We start from the raw sequence: 27,568 nt of genomic DNA on the forward strand, positions 1-27,568 counted from the left end.
GTTGAAGTTTACAGACAAAGTGAGACCCTGTCTCTAAAATTAGATTATAAATAAATAAATAGAATAAAAAGAGAAGGTCAATCAGAAGATATTAGGATCTCTATTACCCAGGAGCAGCAGAAAAGCCTGGGAAGGAAGCACTCTCTCTCTTGAGCTCACAGACAGTAGAAGCAACATAGTATTAGCACGTTTTAGATAAGTACAAGATTTGTCAAGTTGAACAATATATGCTCTGGTTCTTACCTAACATCTTTTTCTTCACTTCTAGTTCTTAAAGATGTTGAAACAGGCCCGGTATGGTAGCTCACGCCTGTAAACCCAGCACTTTGGGAGGCCGAGGTGGGTAGATCACAAGGTCAGGAGGTCAAGACCAGCCTGGCCAAGATGGTGAAACCCCGTCTCTACTAAAACAAAAATTAGCCAGGCGTGGTAGCGGGCACCTGTAATCCCAGCTACTCGGGAGGCTGAGGCAGAGAATTGCTTGAACCTGGGAGGTAGAGGTTGCAGTGAGCCGAGATTGCAACATGCACTCCAGCCTGGGCGACAGAGCCAGATTCCTTCTCAAAAAAAAAAAAAAAAAAAAAAAAGATATTGAAACAGCTTGAAGCAAGACCTGTTCTTTCTAGGGTTCTCAGTCTCTTTTGGAGTTAGTTTCGGTGGGCTTTACCAACGGAAGGGAGAGGTAAACATGGCTGGAGGGTATGCCTGGCAGTAGATTTGGGAGAGGGAATTTCTTCTCCTGCACATCTAAAATGGCTCTAGCGCCCTCTCCCCCTCCCCCTCCCCCTCCCCCTCCCCCTCCCCCTCCCCCTCCCCCTCCCCCTCCCCCTCCCCCTCCCTCTCCCTCTCCGTCTCCCTCTCGCTCTCCGTCTCCCTCTCGCTCTCCCTCTCCCCACGGTCTCCCTCTCATGCGGAGCCGAAGCTGGACTGTACTGCTGCCATCTCGGCTCACTGCATCCTCCCTGCCTGATTCTCCTGCCTCAGTCTGCCGAGTGCCTGCGATTGCAGGCACGCGCCGCCACGCCTGACTGGTTTTGGTGGAGACAGGGTTTCGCTGTGTTGGCCGGGCCGGTCTCCAGCCCCTAACCGCGAGTGATCCGCCAACCTCGGCCTCCCGAGGTGCCGGGATTGCAGACGGAGTCTCGTTCACTCAGTGCTCAATGGTGCCCAGGCTGGAGTGCAGTGGCGTGATCTCGGCTCACTACAACCTACACCTCCCAGCCGCCTGCCTTGGCCTCCCAAAGTGCCGAGATTGCAGCCTCTGCCCGGCCGCCACCCCGTCTGGGAAGTGAGGAGTGTCTCTGCCTGGCTGCCCATCGTCTGGGATGTGAGGAGCCCCTCTGCCTGGCTGCCCAGTCTGGAAAGTGAGGAGCGTCTCCGCCCGGCCGCCATCCCATCTAGGAAGTGAGGAGCACCTCTTCCCAGCCGCCATCACATCTAGGAAGTGAGGAGCGTCTCTGCCCGGCCGCCCATCGTCTGAGATGTGGGGAGCGCCTCTGCCCCGCCGCCCCATCTGGGATGTGAGGAGCGCCTCTGCCCGGCCGAGACCCCGTCTGGGAGGTGAGGAGCGTCTCTGCCCGGCCGCCCCGTCTGAGAAGTGAGGAGACCCTCTGCCTGGCAACCACCCCGTCTGAGAAGTGAGGAGCCCCTCCGCCCGGCAGCCACCCCATCTGGGAAGTGAGGAGCATCTCTGCCCAGCAGCCACCCCGTCCGGGAGGGAGGTGGGGGGGGGGGTCAGCCCCCCACCCGGCCAGCCGCCCCATCCGGGAGGGAGGTGGGGGGTCAGCCCCCCCCGCCCGGCCAGCTGTGCCATCCGGGAGGGAGGTGGGGGGGTCAGCCCCCCTCCCGGCCAGCCGCCCCGTCCGGGAGGTGAGGGGCGCCTCTGCCCGGCCGCCCCTACTGGGAAGTGAGGAGCCCCTCAGCCCGGCCAGCCACCCCGTCCGGGAGGGAGATGGGGGGGTCAGCCCCCCCACCCGGCCAGCCGCCCCGTCCGGGAGGGAGGTGGGGGGGTCAGCCCCCCGCCTGGCCAGCCGCCCCGTCCGGGAGGGAGGTGGGGGGGTCAGCCCCCCGCCCGGCCAGCCGCCCCGTCTGGGAGGTGAGGGGCGCCTCTGCCCGGCCGCCCCTACTGGGAAGTGAGGAGCCCCTCTGCCCGGCCAGCCGCCCCGTCCGGGAGGGAGGTGGGGGGGTCAGCCCCCCGCCCGGCCAGCCGCCCTGTCCGGGAGGGAGGTGGGGGGGTCAGCCCTCCGCCCGGCCAGCCGCCCCGTCTGGGAGGTGAGGGGCGCCTCTGCCCGGCCGCCCCTACTGGGAAGTGAGGAGCCCCTCTGCCCGGCCAGCCGCCCCGTCCGGGAGGGAGGTGGGGGGGGTCGGCCCCCCGCCCGACCAGCCGCCCCATCCGGGAGGGAGGTGGGGGGGTCAGCCCCCCGCCCGGCCAGCCGCCCTGTCCGGGAGGGAGGTGGGGGTGTCAGCCCCACGCCCGGCCAGCCGCCCCGTCCGGGAGGGAGGTGGGGGGGGTCAGCCCCCCTGCCCGGCCAGCCGCCCCGTCCGGGAGGTGAGGGGCGCCTCTGCCCGGCCGCCCCTACTGGGAAGTGAGGAGCCCCTCTGCCCGGCCAGCCGCCCCGTCCGGGAGGGAGGTGGGGGGGGGGTCAGCCCCCCCCGCCCGGCCAGCCGCCCCGTCCGGGAGGTGAGGGGCGCCTCTGCCCAGCCACCACCCCGTCTGGGAGGTGTGCCCAACAGCTCATTGAGAACGGGCCAGGATGACAATGGCGGCCTTGTGGAATAGAAAGGCGGGAAAGGCGGGGAAAAGATTGAGAAATCGGATGGTTGCCGTGTCTGTGTAGAAAGAAGTAGACATGGGAGACTTTTCATTTTGTTCTGCACTAAGAAAAATTCCTCTGTCTTGGGATCCTGTTGATCTGTGACCTTACCCCCAACCCTGTGCTCTCTGAAACATGTGCTGTGTCCACTCAGGGTTAAATGGATTAAGGGCGGTGCAAGATGTGCTTTGTTAAACAGATGCTTGAAGGCAGCATGCTCGTTAAGAGTCATCACCAATCCCTAATCTCAAGTAATCAGGGACACAAACACTGCGGAAGGCCGCAGGGTCCTCTGCCTAGGAAAACCAGAGACCTTTGTTCACTTGTTTATCTGCTGACCTTCCCTCCACTATTGTCCCATGACCCTGCCAAATCCCCCTCTGTGAGAAACACCCAAGAATTATCAATAAAAAAATAAATTAAAAATAAATAAATAAATAAATAAATAAATAAATAAAATAAAAAAAAAAAAGCTAAAAAAAAAAAAAAAAAAAAAAAAAAAAAAAAAAAAAATAAAATGGCTCTAGCAGAGCCCTCTTTGCCCTCATACTTCCGTCCCCTTTGTACCTTCCACTTGACTACCCCCTCACCACCCTGCATTCCCCTCAGTATACTAATCTGGGCCACATTTATCAGCGTGTGTCATTACTGTTCATTAAAGTTGAGAAACCACATTCCATTTTACTCTTTCTTACCTCCTGCCACCCCAAAGGATCAAGCTAGTCTTCCTTGTACATTCTGATGCTGCTTAGACTCAGGAAAGAAACAGAAGTGGAATGCCCTGCTCAGGAGTTCCGGCCTTGGCCATATCTTCTCCTAAAAATTAACCAGAGTTGGCCGGGTGCAGTGGCTCATGCCTGTAATCCCAGCAGTTTGGGAGGCTGAGGTGGGCAGATCACGAGGTCAGAAGTTCGAGACCAGCCTGGCCAACATGGTGAAATGCTATCTCTACTAAAAATACAAAAATTAGCCAGGCGTGGTGGTGGGCGCCTATAATCTTAGTTACTCAGGAGGCTGAGGCAGGAGAATCGCTTGAAACCAGAAGGCAGAGGTTGCGGTGAGCCTAGATCAGGCCACTGCACTCCAGCCTGGGTGACAATGTGAGACTCTATCTCAACACACACACACACACACACACACACAAAATTAACCACAGCTGCACTAATTTGGGGAGGAGGTAGAAGTCAAGCTGTTTATACACTTACCAAGCTAGTTCTTTCTTCCCCCTCTGGCTCTAGTTCAGAATGTGTCTCTTCAGCAAAGATCCCTAGAGGACCAGAGAGGGGAATGACAGGAGCTGTGCATCAGAACTCTTCTCTGAAGCTCTCATATTTGAGGACACTGTCAGCCAATGCTACTGCTTTAATATTAGCGACTGACACTAATAGGCGAAGGAGAGGCAAAGGAATACAGTCCCAACAGAGCCCAACAGTAGACTGGCTGTACCTTTGTAAATATTGAACTAAGAGCCATAAAATATTTTACCTTTCCTAATTCAATAATCCCACTGTTGGAACTGCATCCTGAGAAAACAATTCAAATTAAGACAAGAGAATTCTAATGATACCTACTGCCAATATCTTAGTATCTGAATGCCATTACCCATGAGAAGGTACCAGAGCTCCTTGGAGACATGGCTGATTCAGATCTGGGGCAAGGAAACCTCGTGGTGTGTGTCAGAAAGGAAAATGATACTTAGAGGAGGAACGGTTTTGGGTAGAGAGGTGTTGAATTCTGTTTTGGATTGAGCTGTAGGTACCCGGGAGATGTACAGCTGGAGATGATCAGTGGTACTATACAGATTTGGGTGTTGATTTATACCTGTGTATCAAATCAGATAATCAGTGTTGAAAATTTTCTTGTGCCACCTTGCAGAAGAATTCTCTCTGATGCTTGGCGAAAATGCAGATTTCTAGGTCCCACCTCAGAGGATGAGGCAACTGCATTTTAAAGATGTTCTGATGCTCTCCAAGTGACTTTTTTTTTTTTTTTCTTCAGACGGAGTCTTGCTCTGTTGCCCAGGCTGGAGTGCAGTGGCGTGATCTTGGCTCACTGCAACCTCTGCCTACCGGGTTCAAGCCATTCTCCTGTCTTAGCCTCCCAAGTAGCTGGGATTACAGGCACCTGCCACCGCGCCCAGCTAATTTTTGTATTTTTAGTAGAGACAGGGTTTCACCATATTGGTCAGGCTGGTCTCAAACTCCTGACCTCAGGTGATCCACCCGCCTTGGCCTCCCAAAGTGCTGGGATTACAGGTGTGAGCCACCATGCCCAGCCTCCAAGTGACTTTTTTTTTTGGAGACGGAGTCTTGCTCAGTTGCCCAGGCTGGAGTGCAGTGGCGCGATCTCGGCTCACTGCAAGCTCCGCCTCCCGGGTTCACGCCATTCTCCTGCCTCAGCCTCCCTAGTAGCTGGGACTACAGGTGCCCGCCACTACGCCAGGCTAATTTTTTTGTATTTTTAGTAGAGATGGGGTTTCACCGTGTTAGCCAGGATGGTCTCGATCTCCTGACCTCATGATCCGCCCATCTCAGCCTCCCAAAGTGCTGGGATTACAGGCGTGAGCCACCGCGCCTGGCCTCCAAGTGACTTTTTAAAGCACACATTAGCTTAAGAAATACTTACTTTTTTTTTTTTTTAATCTTTTTTTGAGACAGGGTCTCACCCTGTCACCCAGGTGCAGTGCAGTGGCAGGATCATGGCTCACAGCAGCCTCAACTTCCTGGGCTCACACGATCCTCCCACCTCAGCCTCTGAACAGCTGGGATTACAGGTGTGCACCACCACACCTGGCTAATTTTTGTATTTTTTGTAGAAATGGGGTTTTAACACGTTACCCAGGCTGGTCTCAAACTCCTGGGCTCAAGCAATTTTCCTGCCTCAACCTCCCAAAGTGCTGAGATTGCAGACACGAGCCACCGCATCCAGCCCAAAAGACACCCACCATGGTGTCACATGCCTGTAGTCCCAGCTACTTAGGAGGCTAAGGTGGGAGGATCATGTGAGCCCAGGAGGTCGAGGCTGCAGTGAGCCATGATCCTGCCACTGCACTATAGCCTGGGTGACAGGGCAAGATGCTGTCTCAAAAAAATAAATAAAAATAAATACTTATTTAAGGGATTGTGAAATGCAAGAGCCACTATGGGAAGCTGAGAAGAGTTGGAGAAGCAAGAGCAGAAGAGGGAACCAGGACATTCTGTGCTTCCCAGGAAGGAACAGCACTTCCCTGCAGAGCCCTGTGGAGTGCCACTGAGAGGACAGGAGAAGTAACAAAGGCATAAATGTAACAAGGAATGCCAGCAGTCACGCGTGATGGGCCCTCCTGTAGTACCAGCTACTCTTGAGGCTAAGGCTGTAGAATCACTTGAGGCCAGGAGTTTGAAGCCATAGTGTACCATGATGGCCATGATCATGCCTGTGAATAGTCACCTAGTCACTGCACTCCAGCCTGGGCAACATAGCGAGAGAGAACCCCATCTCTTAACACAAAACAAAACAAAACAAAACCAAAAAAGAAAAAAAAAATTTTGGAGAAACCATAAAATAACAGAAGAATATATAAGTACATGGCCGGGTGTGGTTGCTCACGCCTGTAATCCCAGCACTTTGGGAGGCCGAGGCGGGCGGATCACCTGAGGTCAGGAGTTCGAGACTAGCCTCAACATGGAGAAATCCCGTCTCTACTAAAAATACAAAAAATTAGCCGGGTGTGGTGGTACATGCCTGTAATCCCAGCTACTCGGGAGGCGGAGGCAGGAGAATTGCTTGAACCTGGGAGGCGGAGGCTGCAGTGAGCCAAGATCATGCCATTGCACTCCAGCCTGGGCAACAAGAGTGAAACTCCGTCTCAAAAAAAAAAAAAAGAATACATAAGTACATTTTTCACCTGTTCACAAGAGAGAGAACTTTGTTTCTATTTATTTTTTATTTACTATTTAGAGACAGAGTCTCACTCTGTTGCCCAGGCTGAAGGGTGGTGGCATGATCATAGCCCACAGCAACCTTGAATGCCTGGATTCAAGCTATCCTCCCACCTCAGCCTTCTGAGTAGCTAGGACTACAGGCATGCACCACCACGCCTGGTTAATTTTTCTATTTTTCATAGACACAGGGTTTTGCTGTGTTGCTCAGGCTGGTCTCAAACTCCTGGGCTCAAGTGATCCTCCTGTCTCAGCCTCCCAGAGTGTTGGTTTTACAGGTGTAAGCCACCACGCCTGGCCCTACTTATTTATTTTTAATGTTTAAAGTTTTTAATTTTTAAAATTTGAGATGGGGTCTCGCTACGTTGCCCAGGCTGGTCTTGAATTCTGGGCCTCAAGCCGTCCTCTCACCTTAGCCTCCCAAAGTGCTGGATTACGGGCTTTAGCCACCATACCTTGCCAGTAGAGAATTTTGTAAGCTTAAAAGCAAAGGAAGAAAACAAAGCATTTCCAGATCTGACTACATGAATGTTAAATACTTCAGCATGTCAAAAACACCATGAAAAAAATTAACATGAAAAATTAGAGGGAAATCCTACAGCATATATGAGCATGTAAAGTAGTATCATTAATATATGAAGTTTTTATAATCCGTGCAGAAAACTACTGCTATTTCAGTAAAAAATATGTGCAAACACATGAATACGCAATTCCCAAAGAAAAAAGAAAAAACAATTTTCTCTCTCTATATATAGAACATGAATATGACATACTTATTAAAACAAAAAATGGAATGTCATTTTTAGCTCCTCAAATTGGCAAATACTTGTATGAGAACGTATGGCTCAGGGAATCAAGGAAATAAGCAAAGTCATTCTCTGTTAGTAGAAATGAATTTGGTATCACTTTTCTTTTGTTGTTGTTGAGACAGGGTCTCACTCCCAGGCTGAAGTGCACTCCCAGGTTAGGATCTTGGCTCACTGCAGCTTGTACCTCCCTGGGCCCAGGTGATTCTCCTAACTCAGCCTCCCTAGCTAAGACCACAGGTGTGCACCACCACACCTGGCTAATTTTTTGTATTTTTAGTAGAGATGGGGTTTCCCCATGTTGCCCAGCTGGTCTTGAACTCCCTGGGTTCCAGTGATTCGCCAGCCTTGGCCTCCCAAAGTGCTGCGATTACAGGCGTGAGTCACCGTTCCTGGCCTAGTATCACTATTCTGAAAGGCATGTGTAAGTAATGTCAAAAATTTTAAAATATTCCTACCCTTTGAAAGCAATTCTACTTCTGGGAGCTTATTTTTTACACTTATGTAAAAAAAAATTTGTTCCAAGCCAGTTGTGGTGGCACGCACCTCTAATCCCAGCTACTCGGGAGGCTGAGGCACAAGAATCGCTTGAACCTGGGAGGCAGTGGTTGCAATGAGCCGAGCTGGTGCCACTGTGCTCCAGCCTGGGTGACAGAGCAAGACTCTGTCTCAAAATAGACATATATATAAAGGCTCGCTGGCCTTTGGCAACCTTGCACTTATTACCATTGCCAAGAAGTGTGTGAAAGTGTGAGCCAGTGAGAGTTTCCCCGCTCTACGTTTTGACAGAGTTTTATATCTTCTCATTTGTAGATGTGCACTTTAATACAGACAGCTACATGATGAGCATGTAATACTGACTCAAGGCTCAGCAGCTCTGTTAGTTGAAATAGTACACATCTGTACCCTCTACTTCAGTTGTTCAAATGTCCCTATAAAAATAGTTATGAAAAAGTGGCTGTTCTCACAGGTACACAGGCAATCTTAAACATCAATGAGTTGGCTGTTTTCCCCTTTAGCCTAAGAATGGCCAGTCACACTTTGGAAGTTAGGCCAGCAAATCTGGGAATGCAAATAGAGTCAGAAACCTGGAGTGCTTTTATTCCCTTCACAGACTCATCTAGCAAAATAGATTGCTTTGCAATTGTGAAGAGGAAAAAAAAGAATAAGGAAGAAAAGAAGAATGTGTTGGCTTTGTGAGCCCTGGTTTGAGTATAGGATGATTTCTTTTTTTTTTTTTTTTATATGAAAAGTGGGATCTTAATGGACGCTCACAGTCGGCTCAGGCAGCCTCTGAAAGCTCCCCTTGTCAAACAGCACCCGAGATAGAAGGACCCATTGTTTTCTAAAACTAGTTACCACTCTTCCCTTTATCCTTTCTTTTGTACCTTTTAGCGTTTGCTTAATCAGAATATTTTAATCCCTAATGTGGTGACTCGGTGTAATTTATCTCATTAAGCCTCTCCTATTTTCTCCTGTTTACATGACTAATATTATTGTGTTTTATAGAGCTTATACCAACAAATCACTCCTTTGTCCCATTGTTTCAGCTCCAGGCCAAAAACCAACAATGAAGTTTTATCTTTCCAATCTTAGACCTCACCTACTTGTCATTCAGATTGTATAGATTGCATGAAGAGCATGTTCCTTTGAAAACAAAGCAAGGATTCATTTTTATGACCTAAAAACAAACAATTACCTTTCTCAAAGGTCCTGGTCATCTCTTTTTATGAGTATAGACTGGCAAAGACTCACCTTAGAAGAGGAAAAAAGTATATACTTCCTTGTGGGCTGAAAGCCCAAAGTCCCCTAGCAATAATGCCCTGCTCCCTAACTTATATTTCTTTCCTAGAGCATAGAATATCCAGAAGCAGAGAATCTGAGCAGTGGAGGGCATGTGGCAAGGTTATCTCATCCAAACCCCTGCCCTTCAGCAAGACCACACCCAAGCCAGACAGAGGAGAATCTATCTTGTTTTTCAACGCTTACAAAGCAGAGCCTTCTTTGAAAGTCCCATATTTGAAATACCATGTCAGAAAATTTCTTTTCTAAAAACCCAGCCTAGTAAAAGCTTTTCTTGTCATTTTCTCGGTTACTCTTTTTCTTTTCTAGGCTGAAAATAACCAGTTACCATCCTCAGGGAATCAACAATTTAATGAGCAATAACTTCTGGTGAGGCTGTGGTTCTCAAATGTTAGCCTGCATCAGCGTCACCTGGAGGGCTTATGAAAGCACAGATCGCTGCACGCCCCCAGTTTCCGATCTCAGAGGTCCAAGGAGGGCTCTAGAATTTGCATTTCTAGAGAGTTCCCAGGTGATGCCGATGCTGTTGGACTGGGGACCCCACTTCAAGAACTGCTGCTATCAGTGCTAGGAAATCTGAAGGATAGAAATATGCAGATGCCTAAGAGGTGGGAATAAGTGGAGTTAACAAGTAAATGGGTTAACCTCCATATGGAAAGTGCCAAACGCCCATCACATAAGCCCTTTTCTAGCTCAAGGTGCAGTGTGGGAGGCCGACGTGAACAATAGTTTAGGATGTTAGCCATTCACACCAAGAACTGTGTGGGCATTGAAGGGGAGCACAGCTTCCTGCAGACCTGAAAGCATCAGGAACCATTCCTGGGTGGATTTGTTTGTTTGTTTTGTTTTGCTTTTGTTTTTGTTTTTTTGAGATGGAGTTTTGCTCTTGTCGCCAAGGCTGGAGTGCAGTGGCACAATCTCGGCTCACTGCAACCACCTCCCCAGTTCAAGCAATTCTCCTGCCTCGGCCTCCCAAATAGCTGGAATTACAGACACCTGCCACCTACCTCTGTCTCCCAAAGTGCTGAGATTACAGGTGTGAGCCACTGAGCCCGGTCTCCTGGGTAGATCCTTTTTTTTTTCTTTTTTTTCTTTTGGAGATTCCTCTTTGAAGGTTTTTTGTTTTGTTTTGTTTTATTATACTTTAAGTTCTGGGATACATGTGCAAAACGTACAGGTTTGTTACCTAGGTATACACGTGCCATGGTGGTTTGCTGCACCCATCAACCCATCATCTACATTAGGTATTTCTCCTAATGCTATCCCTCCCCTAGCCCCCCACCCCCCAACAGGCCCCAATGTGTGATGTCCCCCTCCCTGTGTCCATGTATTCTCATTGTTCAGCTCCCACTTATGAGTGAGAACATGCGGTGTTTGGTTTTCTGTTCCTGTGTTGGTTTGCTGAGAATGATGGTTTCCAGCTTCATCCATGTCCCTGCAAAGGACATGAACTCATCCTTTTTTATGGCTACATAGTATTCCATTGTGTATATGTGCCACATTTTTGTGGATTTTTCAAGAAGAGAAGGTTTCCAGACAAAGGGGCAAGGCGAGGCATGTGCTCTTCCAGCAGCAGAACAGCGTGGAACTGAGGAGGGGATGTGGAGTGTTCACAGAGCAGCAAGCCGTGCAAGTGTCCCCAAGGGGAGCGTGCAAGTGAGGCAGTGAGGACAGGGTGCAGAGGTGGGCAGGGCGAGATCCAGGGAGCATGGCAGCGCAGGGGGAGGAGTCTGGGCAATATTCTGAAGGCTTCTTTGACATCGAGGACAGAGGAAGCTTTGCTAAGACTCCATATAAGGGGTCATCAGAGAAAAAAGAAGCAGGAACACAGCTCTCCCCAGACCTCTAGGTCCTCCGTGGTAGGACTTATCTGCCCAGTTCACTCTGGTTTCCCGCTGGTGTCAGGGCCCTGCTAGCCTCCTAGCCTAGGTGCAGGACTCGGCTTTCCCTTTCCTTTTAATTTCGTTGAATGATTTGGGAATTTCATAGAGGGAAATTTGTAAAGACACTGGGCAAACATAGAACCAAAATGAACACAAAGAGAATACATGGGTCTAGAGATAAGGCTTCTAGCTCCACCTTTTGCAGGCTACATGGCCTTGAGCATGTTACTTAACTCCATGTGCAGCTGTCTCTGTATTTAAATAGGGAGCTTATCCCCTAACAAGACCCACAAGACCTTATAGGGCCCGGCACTCCCTGCTGTTTTCAGCCTGAGCTCACACTCACTGACTCTGCCCCAGCTACATAAACCTCTTTTATTTATTTATTTGTTTATTTGAGACGGAGTCTCACTCTGTCACCCAGCCTGGAGTAAGGTGGCAAGATCTCGGCTCACTGCAACCTCTGCCTCCTCGGTTCAAGCACTTCTCTCGCTCAGCCTCCAGCGTAGCTGGAATTACAGGCACTTGCCACCACGCTCAGCTAATTTTTGTATTTTTAGTAGAGACGGGGTTTTACCATCTTTGCCAGGCTGGTCTTGAACTCCTGACCTTGTGATCCACCCGCCTCGGCCTCCCAAAATGTTGGGATTACAGGCGTGAGCCACCGCGCCCGGCCTATAGACCTCTTTTAACTTGGGTTTACTGTGCTCCTTTCTGCCCCAGGCCTTTGCACACGCTGTTTCCTTTGTCTGCAATAGTCTTGCCCTCACCTCACTAATTAACTACTACATTAGATCTAAGACCTACTCCTTCAGGGAAACCTCTGCTCTCCCTGAATAGGTTAAATCTCTCTGATTATAGTGTTTTTTAGTATCAGGAACTTCTACCTGATGTCACTTAATGATTGCTTTTTGTGTAATTATTTGCTTAATGTTTGTCTCCTACTAGAACAGGGGTCAGCAAACCATAGCCAGCTTTGGCCTGAAGCCTGTTTTTATAAAAAAGTTTTATTGGCATGCAGCCACACCTACTTTTTTACATATTGTGTGGTTGCTTTTTCACTACAGTGGCAGAGTTGAGTAGTTGCGGCAGAGGCCTTATGGCCCACAAAACCTAAAATACTTACAATCTGGTCCTTTATGGAAAAAAAAATTGCCAATCCCTGTATAATCTCCATGAAAGCAAGCACAAGGTCTATTTTTGCTTACTTACTTATCCTCAGCATCTAGCATAGTGTCTGCCACATAAAAGATGCATAATATTTATTTTAAAAAAGTGAATGCAAGAAGATTTTTTAAATGACTATTTTGCCAGAGTGTTGAAAGAGTTAAATAAGAGACAGTGTTATTTTTTAAAAACCAACAACGTATGCCTAGAACACAGTAGGTGTTTAATAAAAAATAAATGTTATCAGTTTGTTGTTGTTGTTGTTGTTATTCTCAGGCTTTCCTTAGTGCTTTTTTTGTTTTTGTTTTTGTTTTTTGCTTTTTTTGAGATGGAGTCTCGGACTCTCGCCAAGGCTGGAGTGCAGTGGCACGATCTTGGTTCACTGCAACCTGCACCTCCCGGGTTCAAGCAATTCTCTGCCTCAGCCTCCTGAGTAGCTGGGATTACAGGTGCCCACCACCACGCCTGGCTAATTTTTTGTATTTTTAGTAGAGACGGGGGTTTCACCATCTTGGCCAGGCTGGTCTTGAACTCCTGACCTCGTGATCCACCCACCTCGGCCTCCCGAAGTGCTGGGATTACAGGCGTGAGCCACCGCGCCCGGCCTTTTTTTTTTTTTTTTTTTTTTTTTGAGACAGAGTCTTGCTCTGTCACCCAGGCTGGAGTGCAGTGGCGCGATCTCAGCTCACTGCACCTCTGCCTCCTGGGTTCAAGCGATTCTTCTGTCTCAGCCTCCCTCCTGAGTAGCTGGGATTACAGGCATGTGCCACCATGCCTGGCTAATTTTTGTATTTCTAGTAGAGATGGGGTTTTGCCATGTTGGCCAGGCTGGTCTCAAACTCCTGACCTCAGGTGATCCACCCGCCTCGGCCTCCCAAAGTGCTGGGATTACAGGCGTGAGCCACCACGACCAGCTGTCAGTGCTTTTTAGTCCTCTCTGTGGTACTAGACCTAAACTGTCCTCTGACCCTGGTGCACTCCTGTCTTCCATATCTTGTCCTCTGGCCTTGGTCTCCTGGAGGAGAAAGGCATTTCCATTTCTGTCTTCGGGACTGCTTCCTTGGACCCAGATTGTTAGCAATGTCTTCTCCACCTTTCCTAGAGATTTCCTTTTATGATGTTCAGTCTATTTGAAGCATATTATTTGCAAACCTTGTCATAGTGTTTGGGTGATGCCCCTTTAACCTGTCCTGGGGGCTTTGCTTCACCAGGGTCATCTAAATGATGGCAGTTCCATCTTTCTTTATGGCCACCTCCTGCAGGGACAGCAGAATAACTGCTTGTGGTTGGTCAGGAGATGCTGGAAGACTGGAGGAGAGCTCCTGATGGGGCAGTGATGAGCAGAGGCTTGTGGACTGGAACCGTGTGGTTTCATAGGTGAGAGGAGCGGGCAAAGGAGAGCAGGCTCAAAGCCCGGCCTAGAAGCTGTTTAGTCTGGAGTTGGCCCAGCTGGATGTAGAATCCAAAAGAAGGGAAGGTTTGGTAAAACTAGAGTCAGCAAACTGTCACCTGCAGGCCAAATCCAGCCTGCTTCCAGCTTTTATGTAACTTTTACACTAAGCATGGTTTTTACCTTTTTACATGATTGGAGAAAAAAACAAAAGAAGAATAGTATTTTGTGACACATAAAAATTTTAGGAAATTCAAATGTCAGTGTCCATCAATAAAGCTTTATTGGAACACAGTCCTGCCCATTCACTTATGACTATGGCTGCTTTCATGTTACAACAGCACAGTTGAGTAGTTGGCTACAGAGACCATATGGCCCCTAAGCCTGAAATATTTACTGTCTGGCCCTTTACAGAAAAAATTTACCAACCCCCAAGTTACACTATTAGTCTGAGCTGTGACAGTGGCTTTGACCCAAGCCCATCAGAACACATTCCCTGTTCAGTGTTGCCTGACCTCTGCAAACCCCACCAGGTCCCATCCTAGGAGCGGTAGGGAGAGAACAGGTTAATTAGATGGGTTAATTTGAGGAACTATTCTTTCAAGAGGTGAGAAGGGATGAGATGAGAGAACGCGATGGAGTTAAGACCATGGGCTCTGATTCAAATGTTGATTTCACCACTTATAGCAGTGGGACGGACCTTGAGCAAGTGTCTTAACCTCTCTGAGCAGCAGTTTCCATATAATAAAATGTGAATAATTATATGGTCAAATATATAGTGTCATTGTGAGGAGCAAATGAGCTAATGCATCAACAATGTCTGGCATATGGTAGACACTTAATAAATATTCACTGCTATTAATTACTGTGATTAGATGGAGTACAACAGAGGAAGAGTTGGCCTGGGAGAGGAAAAAGCTATCTTTCTTCGAGCAGCATGTGGAATAGAGTAAAAACAACAGGCATTCGAGATAAACAGACCTGGGATCAATTCCCTTTGTTAGTGATGCTATGTGACTTTAGTAAAGTTGATTAACTTCTGAGCCTTGGTTTTCCCCCCTCTATGGAACTCAGATGTCAAGGGGTGGGGGTGGGGGGCCTTCCTGCTCTTGAATTTAGGAAATGTACTTCCTTTATAGTACTGCCTGTCACCATCTCAGGTGAAACACACGTGGCTTCTGTTTCACCCTATGCCAGAAAGCCCATTCAAAAATTCTCTTTCAGCATTTCATGAGCTTAGTAAATTTACTTGAGATTTTAAGACTTATGCTTTTGAGGGTAGGGGCATATTGTGCCACACGAAGCCTTTCTCTAAAGCTCCTGCTCTTTTCTTGCCTCTTCCCCTCTCCTCTTCTTTCTGAATGAGGAGCCCACCATCCCCTCACCCTGCCCATTCCACACATATTTCCTCATCTCTCTCCCCTCCCGCCACATTGTCCAAAGAGGCTGATCAAGGCATTTTCCCATGAAGATGATTCTCTCCCCAAGATAAATTTTTTTTTTTTTTTTAAACAGAGTCTTGCTCTGTCACCCAGGCTGGAGTGCAGACTGCAATTTCCGCCTCCTGGGCTCAAGCTATTCTCATGCCTCAGCCTCCTGAGAAGCTGGGATTACAGGCGTACACCACCACACCTGGCTGATTTTTTGTATTTTTAGTAGAGACGGGTTTTGCCATGTTGGCCAGCCTGGTCTCAAACTCTTGACCTCAAGTCATCCGCCCGCCTCGGCCTCCCAAAGTGCTGGGATTACAGCCCTGAGCCACCACGCCTCGCCCCCAAGAGAAATTCTCATACCAGCTGCTAAAAGAATATGATTTCCTCCATCCTCTAACAAGCAAAACAGGGATAATTATGCCTACCTCACAGGGTGTTTGTGGGAATTAAATGAGGTAATGTTTCTGCAAACTGCTGGCACATAGCAGGCAGTCAATAAATGTTAGCTCCCTCCTCCTTTGATTCTTCCTTTGTGAAGTGAAGGAACAAAGAGAGATATTGAGAGATATTTTGAGGTGGGGAGGAGAGTACATAAAGCAGCCAAGAAGGTCATCTCCTTGACCATCACCCTCCAGTAAAGTGGAAGAGATTATTTGCCAAGAGCAACTGGAAGAGGTGGAGGGGCTCAGGGCGGAAGCTAGACAAGCCTGGTTTATCTTGGAGTCCACCCAAAAGGGTTTAGTTACTAGAACAGCAGTTCCTCTACATGAATCCTTCAGGTTCTTGAAAAATGTTATTAAATCACTTCTGCATCATAAATAATCCTAATTTTATTACTCTGCCCTCTCAGGCCAACGTGTGAGTCCTGCAAGGTCCCTCTCCTGCTAAGCTGCAGGCCCAGGCACACAGCTGCACAGGGCAGGATCCCAGGCTTGGCTGAATAGGATCCAGTGGCCTGTATCGTCTGCTGGCTTTCTCTGATGTTTTCCAAGCTGTTTCATTTTTTTATTTTTCTTTAAAAAAACTTTCTTAAAAAAATATGGGCCAGGCGCGGTGGCTCATGCCCTAATCCCAGCACTTTGGGAGGCCGAGGTGGGTGGATCACGAGGTCAGGAGATAGAGACCATCCTGGCCAACACGGTGAAACCCCGTCTCTACTAAAAATACAAAAAATTAGCTGGGCATGGTGGCGGGCACCTGTAGTCCCAGCTACTCGGGAGGCTGAGTCAGGAGAATGGCGTGAACCCGGGAGACGGAGCTTGCAGTGAGCCGAGGTTGCGCCACTGCACTCCAGCCTGGGTGACAGAGCCAGACTCTGTCTCAAAAAAAAAAAAAAAAAAAAAAAAAAATGGAACGCTTCACAGATTTGCATGTCATCCTTACGCAGGGGGCATGCTAATCTCCTCTGTATTGTTCCAGTTTTAGTGTACGTGCTGCCAAAGTGAGCACTCCAAGCCCTTTCGAAGTTGAGTTCTTCTTAGTAATCTTCCTTGAGGTGTAGGACTCCAAATGGGAGGTTTATTAGCAAGGTCCTGGGTGCAGAGTCATGGGAATTTGGGAATTCTGTTACTTGTCTATTTAGATATGTCTCTTGTCCTGTTTGTTTGTGTTAGTTAGCTTTTCTTTTTCTTTTTTTTTTTAAACCATAGATTTTTTTTTTCCTAGACAGAGTCTCGCCCTGTCGCCCAGCTGGAGTGCAATGGCGCAATCTCGGCTCACTGCAACCTCTGCCTCCCGGGTTCAAACGATTCTCCTGCCTCAGCCTCCTGAGTAGCTGGGATTACAGGTGCCCGCCACTATGCCTGGCTAATTTTTTTTTTTTTTTTTTTTTTGTATTTTTAGTAGAGACGGGGTTTCACCATGTTGGCCAGGCTGGTCTCCAACTCCTGACCTCGTGATCCGCCTACCTCAGCCTCCCAAAGTGCTGGGATTACAGGCGTGAGCCACCTCGCCTGGCTAAACCACGGAATTTTTTTTAAAACTTCTTCCAAAAGAGTGGATGGATGGCTTTCGTCCATTCTTCTGTGGGCCAAGCATGTTTCTCCCCCATGTAAAAACAAATGGTTGTGATTATTCAATATCAAATTGTATCCTACACCTTAAGAAGTCCCTGCTATTTTCCCCAGCTGTCCTCATCCATATCTATGTATCTTTTCTTTTCTTTTCTTTTTTTGAGATGGAATTTCGCTCTTGTTACCTAGGCTGGAGTGCAATGGTGCAATCTCGGCTCACCGCAACCTCCACCTCTTGGGTTCAAGTGATTCTTCTGCCTCAGCCTCCCAAGTAGCTGGGATTACAGGCTCATGCCACCACACCCAGCTAATTTTGTATTTTTGGTAGAGACAGCATTTTTCCATGTTGATCAGGCTGGTCTTGAACTCCTGACCTCACGTGATCTGCCTGCCTCAGCCTCCCAAAGTGCTGGGAGTATAGGCGTGAGCCACTGCACCCACACCCGGCCCTGTATCTTTTCATTTATCTTTTTTTTTTTTTTTTTTAATTTTAGAGACGGGGTCTTGGCTGTATTGCCCAGGCTGGAGTGCAGTGGCTGTACACAGACTCAATCATATCACTCTACAGCCTCAAACTCCTGGGCTCAAGCAATACTCCTGCCTTAGCCTCCTAAGGACTACAGTTACATGCCACTGCGCTGGGCTGTCTACAATTTTTTAACCCACAGATTTCACGTAGCTTTTCTTCCCAGAGCAAAGTAAGTTGAAAAGTAGCAACACCAGCCGGGCATGGTGGCTCACGCCTGTAATCCCAGCACTTTGGGAGGCTGAGGGGGGTGGATCACAAGGTCAGGAGTTTGAGACCAGCCTGGCCAACATGGAGAAACCCCGTCTCTACTAAAGATACAAAAAATTAGCCGGGTGTGGTGGTGCGCACCTGTAATCCCAGCTACTCAGGAGTCCAAGGCAGGAGAATCACTTGAACCCAGGAGGAGGAGGTTGCAGTGAGCCGAAATCACGCTATTACACTCCAGCCTGGGCGACAGAGCAAGACTCTGCCTCAAAAAAAATTTTTTAAAAAGTTAATTAATTTTAAAAAAGTAGCAACACCTGTCTCTTTTATGTGGCATTCTGGGCTTTAAAAAAAAACAAAAAACTAGAGTTTAGGAAACATGGGTTCAATTCCTAGTTCCTCTCAGTCCACTGTATGTCTTCTGAAGGATTCTTTCTTTCTTTAAATGTTTTGGTTTTATGACTTAATGTTTTTCCCAAATATAAAAATTGTGTGTGTTCCTGTGTAAAACATGGAAGGCACTAAAAAATATAAAGAAAATGTAAACAAAAACCATGCTTAAGTTCCACCCTCAGAAACTCCACTGTGAACATCTTGCTAGATTTCACTAGGGTTTTGTTTTCTCTGCAAATGTGCTTACATAGTTACCAAATGTGATCCAATTGTAAACAGTTTTGAAGCCTGCTTTTCTACTTAGGTTTATTTCATGAGCATTTCCTAGTCATTAAAAATTCTTCAAAAGCCTATTTCTGCACCATAACACATTTCATCATTCTCAGATTGTTCCACACTTAGGCCGGGTCCAGTTTTTCACTCCATAAATAATACTGCAGTGATCCACTTTGTACCTTGGATTTGCATATCTGAAAATTCCCTTAGAAGGTATTTCTAGAGGTAAGATTTCTAGTAAAATAGCATCCTGGACCTCACTTTAGTCATCACTGTTAAGTCAGCCCAAAGTGTTTCATCTTGAGTCTGATAAAGTGTTTGTTTAGTCACTAAAATAGGAAAAGGACTTGGTAATTTTTGCCTATATTGTGGTTTCATGGGATGCAACTGGAGAACAAAATAATACAATGATGTTCACTGTAATTATGATTTGGAGCTATTTAAAGGAGGTAATAATAGCAGCTAACATTTATTGGGTGGTTTATATGTGCTAAGCTCTGTTTTAACTGTTTTTCACATACTACTTTAATTTCATCACAACTCTAGAAGGCAGGTGCTACTGTTATCCCCATTTTACAGATGGGGAAGCTGAGGCACAGAGAGGCTAAATTACTTATGCAAGGTAAATGGCTGAGCCAGGACTCAAAGCCAAGCACTTTGGGTGCCAGCCCATGCTATTAACCATGCTGGATTCTGCCCAGAAACAATCATGTGGGGAAGGGTCCTTACCTCCCACATGACACTGTACATGGTACAGGGCTGCCTAACCTCCCTGCTCACTGCGGAGTTCCTGCTTCCTCTACCCTTGCTCTTCTTGCTTCCTCTTTTTTTTTTTTTTTTTTTTTTTTTTGAGATGGAGTCTCGCTCTGTCGCCCAGGCTGGAGTGCCGTGGCGCAATCTCGGCTCACTGCAAGCTCCGCCTCCCGGGTTCACGCCATTCTCCTGCCTCAGCCTCCCGAGTAGCTGGGACTACAGGCACCCACCACCACGCCCGGCTAATTTTTTGTATTTTTAGTAGAGACGGGGGGGCGGGGTTTCACCGTGTTAGCCAGGATGGTCTCAATCTCCTGACCTCGTGATCCACCCGCCTCAGCCTCCCAAAGTGCTGGGATTACAGGTGTGAGCCACTGCGCCCGGCCTTTTTTTTTTTTCAGACAGTTTCGCTTTTGTTGCCCAGGCTGGAGTGCAATGGTGCGATCTCAGCTCACCGCAACCTCCACCTCTTGGGTTCAAGCAATTCTCCTGCCTCAGCCTCCCGAGTAGCTGGGATTACAGGCATGTGCCACCACGCCTGGCTAATTTTGTATTTTATTTTATTTTTTTAGTAGAGACAGGGTTTCTCCATCTTGGTCAGGCTGGTCTTGGAACTCCCGACCTCAGGTGATCTGCCAGTCTCGGCCTCCCAAAGTGCCGGGATTACAGGCGTGAGCCACCTGCACCCAGTCTCTTCTTCCTCTTTTACCAGCTGTGTCCTGCCGGGTATGGACAGGACAGAAGCCCAGCTGCAGAGCACCCAGTTCTCTATCTGGAAGGGAAGAGGAATGCCTATCAGGCTGTTCTCCGTTAGCTGCTTATTCAGGAAGGAAGGATGGAGGGAGAAAATGAATGCAAAAACACTGCTTTAGGACTTTGGTGGTGTGTTTTGTTTTCAGTTTTGTTTTCCACAATTGCAAGAACATTAGCCTTGCCTATTTAGCAGTAATATTTCCTTTACATTTTTCACAAGTTCCTTTTGAAGAGGTTCTCAGCTCATCCATTGGTGCAGTGCTAGATGTGAACAGTAAAAATAGGAGTTATTAAAGACAACGGTGACAGTGAATTCTGTCACGAAGGAGGTGACTATCGTTTTCAATACTGTCCGTAGCAGTTTATCTTGGTTACAAATGACCTCCAAACAGCTGTTCAGCTTGGACAGCTCCACAGGTGCCCCATTGTATATAGAGAGAGCTTGGGGCTTAAGTTCTAATTAACAGCCATTTTCTCTTGTCCCACCTCCTAATGTTGACTTAAAACAATACCAGTGTCACACAAGACTACACAGGTTGTTTCTGTTTACGTCAAGTAGACTGGCACCCCAGTGAAACACAACACAATATCCACAACAAAAAATAAACACAGCCTTCAACCTGCTTCCTCTTTTTTACCTTGCCAGGCTCCTCTGATGAGAACCCCACCAGAGAGATTTGCCTGTGTTCACACACTGGCACAAGAGTGAACTCTGTAGAATTTCTAATAGCACCAGAAGTGAACTTGGGTAGAAATGAGCCACAGAACCTTTGGGAAATGCTACCAGCATAGAATCTTCCCAGGGGGTTAGGTCTCTGCAGTAGGGGACTCTGTACAGCCAGAAATATGCTTTAAGCATCTACTCTGCCCAGATTTGAGCATGTTGCCTGGCCCCTAGAGATGCCCAATCAATATAAACTGAATTGAAGTGAGTTCTGTTGAGTTAGAGTGGATGGGATAGTAAAAGGTAGAAAAAGGTGTGATGCTCTCTTCTTTGATTTTCAGGTAGTCTAATAACAACAACAATAATAATTAATATCTATGAAGTGTTTGCTATAGGACAGGCCTGTTTTCAAGCACTTTACATGCATTTTTTTTTAAATTCATACAACATTCCCATGAAGTAGGTATTTTTAATGTTTCCATTTTAGATGAGAAAGCTGAAGTTAAATCACTGTCCCAAGGTCATAAAACTAGCATGCAGGCTAGGCTTGGTGGCTCATATCTGTAATTCCAGCACTTTGGGAGGCCAAGGCAGGAGGATTGCTTGAACCTAGGGGTTCAAGACCAGCTTGGGCAATATAGTGAAATCTTGTCTCTACAAAAATAAAAATTAAAAAATTAGCCAGGTGCAGTGGTGCATACCTGTAGTTCTAGCTACTAGGGAGGCTAAGTTGGGAGAAGGTGGGAGAATCACCTGAGCCTGGGAGGTCAAGGCTGCAGTGATCACGCCACTCTGGACTCTAGCCTGAGCAACAGAATGAGACCCTGTCTCCCCTGGCACGGTGGCTCACACCTGTAATCCCAACACTTTGGGAGGCTGAGGCAGGTGGATTGCTTGAGGTCAGGAGTTCAAGACCAGCCTGACCAACATGGTGAAACCCCGTTTCTACTAAAAATACAAAAATTAGCTGGGCATAGTGGCAGGTGCCTGTAATCCCAGCTACTCAGGAGGCTGAGGCAGAAGAATTGCTTGAACCCAGTGAGAGGCGAAGCCAGCTGGACTTCCTGGGTCAAGTGGAGACTTGGAGAACTTTTCTGTCTAGCAAGAGGATTGTAAAATGCACCAATCAGCACTCTGTAGCTAGGACTGTAAAACACACCAATCAGCGCTCTGTAGCTAGCAAGGGGATTGTAAAATGCACCAATCAGCACTCTGTAAAAATGCATCAATCAGCACTCTGTAGCTAGCAAGAGGATTGTAAAATGCACCAATCACCACTCTGTAAAACACACCAATCAGCAGGATCCTAAAAGTAGCCAGTCGCAGGGAGGATTGAAAAAAGGGCATTTTGATAGGACAGAAACTGAACATGGAAGGGGACAAATAAGGGAAGATAAGCTGGCCACCCCAGCCAGCAGCAGCAACCCACTCTGGTCCCCTTCCACGCTGTGGAAGCTTTGTCCTTTTGCTCTTCACAATAAACCTTGCTACCGCTCACTCTTTGGGTCCATGCCATCTTTAAGAGCTGTAACACTCACCTTTAAGAGCTGTAATACTCACCTTTAAGAGCTGTAATACTCACCGTGAAGGTCCGTGGCTCCGTTCTTGAATTCGGTGAGAGCACAAACCCACCAGCAAGAACCAACTCCAGACACACCAGGAGGCAGAGGTTGCAGTGAGCTGAAATTGCGCCATTGCACTCCAGCCTGGGCTACACAGCGAGACTCTGTCTCAAAAAAAAAAAAAAAAAAAAAAGTTTGAGACCCTATCTCAAAAACAAAACAAAGGGTGGGCGTGGTGGCTCACGCCTGTAATCCCAGCACTTTGGGAGGCCAAGGTGGGCAGATGACCTGAGATTGGGAGTTCGATACCAGCCTGACCAACATGGAGAAACCCTGTCTCTACTAAAAATACAAAATTAGCTGGGTGTGGTCACACATGCCTGTAATCCCAGGTACTGGGGAGGCTGAGGCAGGAGAATCATTTGAACCCGGGAGGCAGAGGTTGCAGTGAGCCGAGATTGTGCTATTGCACTCCAGCCTCAGCAACAAGAGCAAAACTCCGTCTCAAAAAAAAAAAAAAAAAACCAACAACAACAACAAAAACCTAGCATGCAGTAGAATTGGAGCCCCAACAGTCTGACTCTGGAGCCATTCACTATTCCACTGTCTCTCAAATGGAGCATTTTAGGGACCTGAGTTTTCTATGAGAGGTAGTATATGTATACAGCATCCTGAAGAAATTACGGAGTTTGCACCTTAACAAACATGTATGTATTTATAGAAGATGTTATTTGTACTGTTAAATCATATGTATATATATGTACACCATATATTTTATCTATATTTCTACAAACTAATCAGCAACATGTGATAGTGACGCTAGTTTGAGCAATCTTTTATAATTAGTGAAGTATATTTAAACATTTATTGAAGGATAATATACCTACAGAAAAATGTACATATCATATGTGTATAGCTTCATGAGTTTTCACAAACTGGAATACACTCATGCATCCACCTCCCAGAACAAGAAACAAAACATTCCCAGTACTCCAGAGACCCGGTCCAGTCTCTCCCTCCCCTAGGTGCAGCCTCTATCCTGACTTCTGACACCATAGATTACTTAGCAATGGGAAATTTTAAAATCTTTTTCTTATTTTCAGAGACTTGCTATGTTTCCCAGGCTGATCTTGAACTCTTGGCCTCGAGCCAGCCTTCTGCCTTGGCCTCCCAAAATGCTCAGATTACAGGCATGAGCCACCGTACGTGGCCAGAAAATTTTTAATGTGGGAAAATTGTCGAAGTTCATCAAGAAGCCTCAGTTTTGGCTGGGTGTGGTGGCTCACGCCTGTAATCCCAGCACTTCGGGAGGCTGAGGGGGGCAGATCACCTGATATCAGGAGTTTGAGACCAGACTGGCCAACATGGTGAAACACCAACTCTACTAAAAATACAAAAATTAGCTGGGCATGGTGGCGTGCGTCTGTAATCCCAGCTACTCGGGAGGCTGAGGCAGGAGAATTGCTTGAACCCGGGATGCAGAGGTTGCAGTGAGCCGAGATTGCGCCACTGCACTCCAGCCTGGGCGACAGAGTAAGACTCTGTCTCAAAAAAAAAAAGAAAAAAGAAAGTAAGGTGCCAACTTCACATTATAAGATAAACCTAAAACAATAAATATAAGAGAAATCAATCATTGAGTTCCGTTTCTTGAGGTTACATCATTCGAATCCACCACCTTCTTGTGGAGATCCAGAAGTGCCCTTTCAAATACCTGTGAGAATGGGCTGGGAATGAGGAAGGGGCTGGCATACACTTATCTAAGCATATTTGTAAATAAAGCAAAAAGCAATTTACAGGGGAGTCTGTGGTAGGGTTTTGTTGTTGTTGTTGTTGTTTTTGAGACGGAGTTTCACTCTTGTTGCCCAGGCTGGAGTGCAATGACACAATCTCAACTCACAACCTCTGCCTCCCGGGTTCAAGCGATTCTTCTGTCTCAGCCTCCCGAGTAGCTGGGATTACAGGCCTGCACCACCATGCCCGGCTAATTTTGTGTTTTTAGTAGAGTTGAAGTTTCTCCATTTTGGTCAAGCTGGTCTCAAACTCCAGACCTCAGGTGATCCGCCCGCCTCGGCCTCCCAAAGTTCTGGGATTACAGGTGTGAGCCACCATGCCTGGCTGTGGTAGATTTTTACACATGGATAAGACTATCCAAAATGCCTTCTAATATTCAGGCATCGGATGTATTGCTATGTTTGGGAGCCTCTGAGCCCCTTTCTAAGAATTTTCACAGGGAGCTGGGCAGCGGGAGTGGCAGTCATGTTGGTGCAATGTGGCCTTGCCCCAGTGTCATCTGATTGGACCGGAAAGAGACATCTGACTCAGGCTGGCCAATTAGATCATCTATCCCAAGAATTTTTCACTGGAGAGAAAGGATGCAAGTTAGTATAGGCTGGTCTCTTAAACTAAGGGCATCTCAACTGAAGAGCTTTGGCATTGCATCACAGTCAAGAAGAAACACACAACACCAGACTGCAGAGAGAAGGAAGGAAGTTGACGTGCCGAGAGGCAGAGAGGAGGGCCACAAAGTAAGAGACCAGAGAAGACCATGGAGGCACAGAGAGGAGGGCACTGGAGCAAAGTAGCTGACTTGACTTCTGCTGGTCTTCTGGTTTAGGTTCTGGTCAACCCATCATGAGACCCAGCTGTTCCTCTTATTTTTGGGCTCCTCAGATGATTGTAGACCTTCATACTATAACTTTCTTCAACATGTTGCTGATGCTAGCTTGAAGGGCATCTGTTACTTGCTGTTTCAGAAACAATGGCTGCAAAATTCAGTGGCTTAAAACAAGAGCAACACTTACGTTTCTTACAGATCTGTAATTTGAGCAAAGCTTAGCATGGACAGCTCGTTTCCACTCCAACTTGGTTTCAGCTGACAGCTTGAAGGCTGGGGGCTGACACTGTATAACACTCACACATGCCTGATTCCTGGGTTGCAAAGACCCAAGCAGTTGGGGCTGGAAGAGTTGGGGCTGCATAGGAACCGCTCTGTTTCTCTGTGGTCTCTTATCATGGTAGCTTCAGGATAGATGAACTTTCCCATGGAGGCTAAGGGCTCCAAATGCACAGGTCCCAAGGAGAGAGGGACAGGTGGAAGCCACATCGCCTTTTAGTACCCAGCCTCCGAAGCCATGGAATATCATTTGATCTCATTCTATTTGTGGAAGCAGTTACAAAGATCCACCTTGGTTGGGGGACCCCATCTCTCAGTGAAGGAATGTCAGCATCACATTTTTTTTTTTTGAGACGGAGTTTTGCTCTTGTTGTCCAGGCTGGAGTGCAGTGGTGCATTCTCAGTTCACTGCAACCTCTGCCTCCCGGGTTCAAGTGATTCTCCTGTCTCAGGCCTCCCAAGCAGCTGGGATTACAGGTTCCTGCCACCATGCCCTGCTAATTTTTTGTATTTTTAGTAGAGATGAGGTTTCAACGTGTTAGCCAGGATGGTCTCGATCTCCTGACCTTGTGATCCGCCTGCCTGGGCCTCCCAAAATGCAGGGATTACAGGCGTAAGCCACTGCGCCCGGCCAGCATTACATTTTAAAATGAGCGTGTGGCCAGAAGGTATATTAGGTGTCCATCTTTGGAAAATACAATCAGTGATACTTGTAAACAAACGAATGTTGATTAACATGTGGATTAATTAGCTGAGTACGGTGGCATATGCCTGAAGTTCCAGCTACGGTGCAGCCTGAAGTTCCAGGCTAAGGTGAAAGGATCACTTGAGCCCAGAAGATCGAGGCTGCAGTGAGCTATGATCTCACCACTGCACCCCCGCCTGGGTGACAGAGTGAGACCCTGTCTCAAAAGAGAAAAAGGAAAAAGAAAAAAAAATGTGGATTAATCCCAAAAAATAAAAAAGGCATTAGAATTCCTAGAAAATTATCAGTGTTGTGATGGGAAATGGGTTGGTGGGTGTAGTGATAATTCTTTCTTTACCCTCCTGCTCTGAATTGATGAACATCAAACTCATCCGTAGGTAGTCTCACTGAATTCTATCCAAGAAGCAGCATTTTAAAGATGACTGGTCTTTCGTTCTGTAATTGTCCTGTGTTTTATTTTACTACATAATTTGGCATGAATCAAGTTCAAATCCCTTGTTATTTGTAATGAAAGGTTTCTAGTCATCTTGTTTTCAAATGTTACTTGTAAGCATGTATTAGTTCGTTCTTGAATTGCTATAATGAAATACTGGAGGCTGGGCGCGGTGGCTCACGCCTGTAATCCCAGCACTTTGGGAGGCCGAGGTGGGTGGATCACGAGGTCAGGAGATGGAGACCCTCCTTTCTAACACGGTGAAACCCAGTCTCTGCTAAAAAATACAAAAAATTAGCCAAACGTGGTGGCAGGCACCTGTAGTCCCAGCTACTCGGGTGGCTGAGGCAGGAGAATCGTTTGCACCTGGGAGGCGGAGGTTGCAGTGAGCCCAGATTGCGCCACTGCACTCCAGCCTGGGCAAAAGAGCGAGACTCTGTCTCAAATAAGTAAGAAAGAAAGAAAGAGAGAAAGAGAGAGAGAGAGGAAGGAAGAAAGGAAAGAAAGAAAAAGACTAGAGACTGGGTAATTTATAAAGAAAATAGGTTTCATTGGCTCATGATTTCACAGGCTGTATAGGAGGCAAGGTTGTTTCTGCTTCTGGGGAGCCCTCAGAAAACTTACAATCATGGCAGAAGGTGCGGAGGGAAAGCAGACACACCTTACGTGGCTGGAGCAGAAGCAAGGGCTGGGGGTGGGGGAGGTGCTACACACTTTTTTTTTTTTTTTTTTTTGAGACAGAGTCTCGCTCTGTCGCCCGGGCTGGAGTGCAGTGGCGCGACCTCAGCTTGCTGCAAACTCTGCCTCTCCGGTTCTCGCCATTCTCCTGCCTCAGCCTCCTGAGTAGCTGGGACTACGGGCACCCGCCACCTCGCCTGGCTAATTTTTTGTATTTTTACTAGAGACCGGGTTTCACCGCGTTAGCCAGGATTGTCTCGATCTCCTGATCTTGTGATACACCCGCCTCGGCCTCCCAAAGTGCTGGGATTACAGGCATGAGCCACCGCGCCCGGCCAGGTGCTACACGCTTTTAAATAACTAGATCTCATGATAGCTCACTATCACAAGAACAGCCCCGAGGGGATAGTGCTAAAGCATTCGTGAGAAACTGCTCCCAAAATCCAGTCACCTCCTACCAGGTCCCACCTCCAACATTGGGGGTTACAGTTTGACAT

General features: G+C 47.4%; 1 long non-coding RNA gene and 1 pseudogene across 1 annotated transcript in view, besides 1 other annotated feature; one reads left to right on the forward strand and one right to left on the reverse strand.

Moving 5' to 3' along the window:
- TLE1-DT (TLE1 divergent transcript) overlaps nucleotides 1-27,568 on the forward strand; it is an 87,188-nt gene that overhangs the window by 18,973 nt on the left and 40,647 nt on the right. The window lies entirely within an intron of this gene.
- Nucleotides 16,558-16,664, reverse strand: RNU6-1035P (RNA, U6 small nuclear 1035, pseudogene; annotated as a pseudogene).
- Nucleotides 25,486-25,647: a silencer, noted in NCBI's record as "fragment chr9:84349086-84349247 (GRCh37/hg19 assembly coordinates)". NCBI's record gives its function as "represses an EF-1alpha promoter that drives an FKBP-Casp9 reporter gene in an ReSE screen in K562 erythroleukemia cells {active_cell/tissue: K562}" and the evidence as "EXISTENCE:reporter gene assay evidence [ECO:0000049][PMID:32094911]".

This window comes from Homo sapiens, chromosome 9 (assembly GCF_000001405.40).
Source record: "Homo sapiens chromosome 9, GRCh38.p14 Primary Assembly".
Classification (NCBI taxonomy): Eukaryota; Metazoa; Chordata; class Mammalia; order Primates; family Hominidae; genus Homo; species Homo sapiens.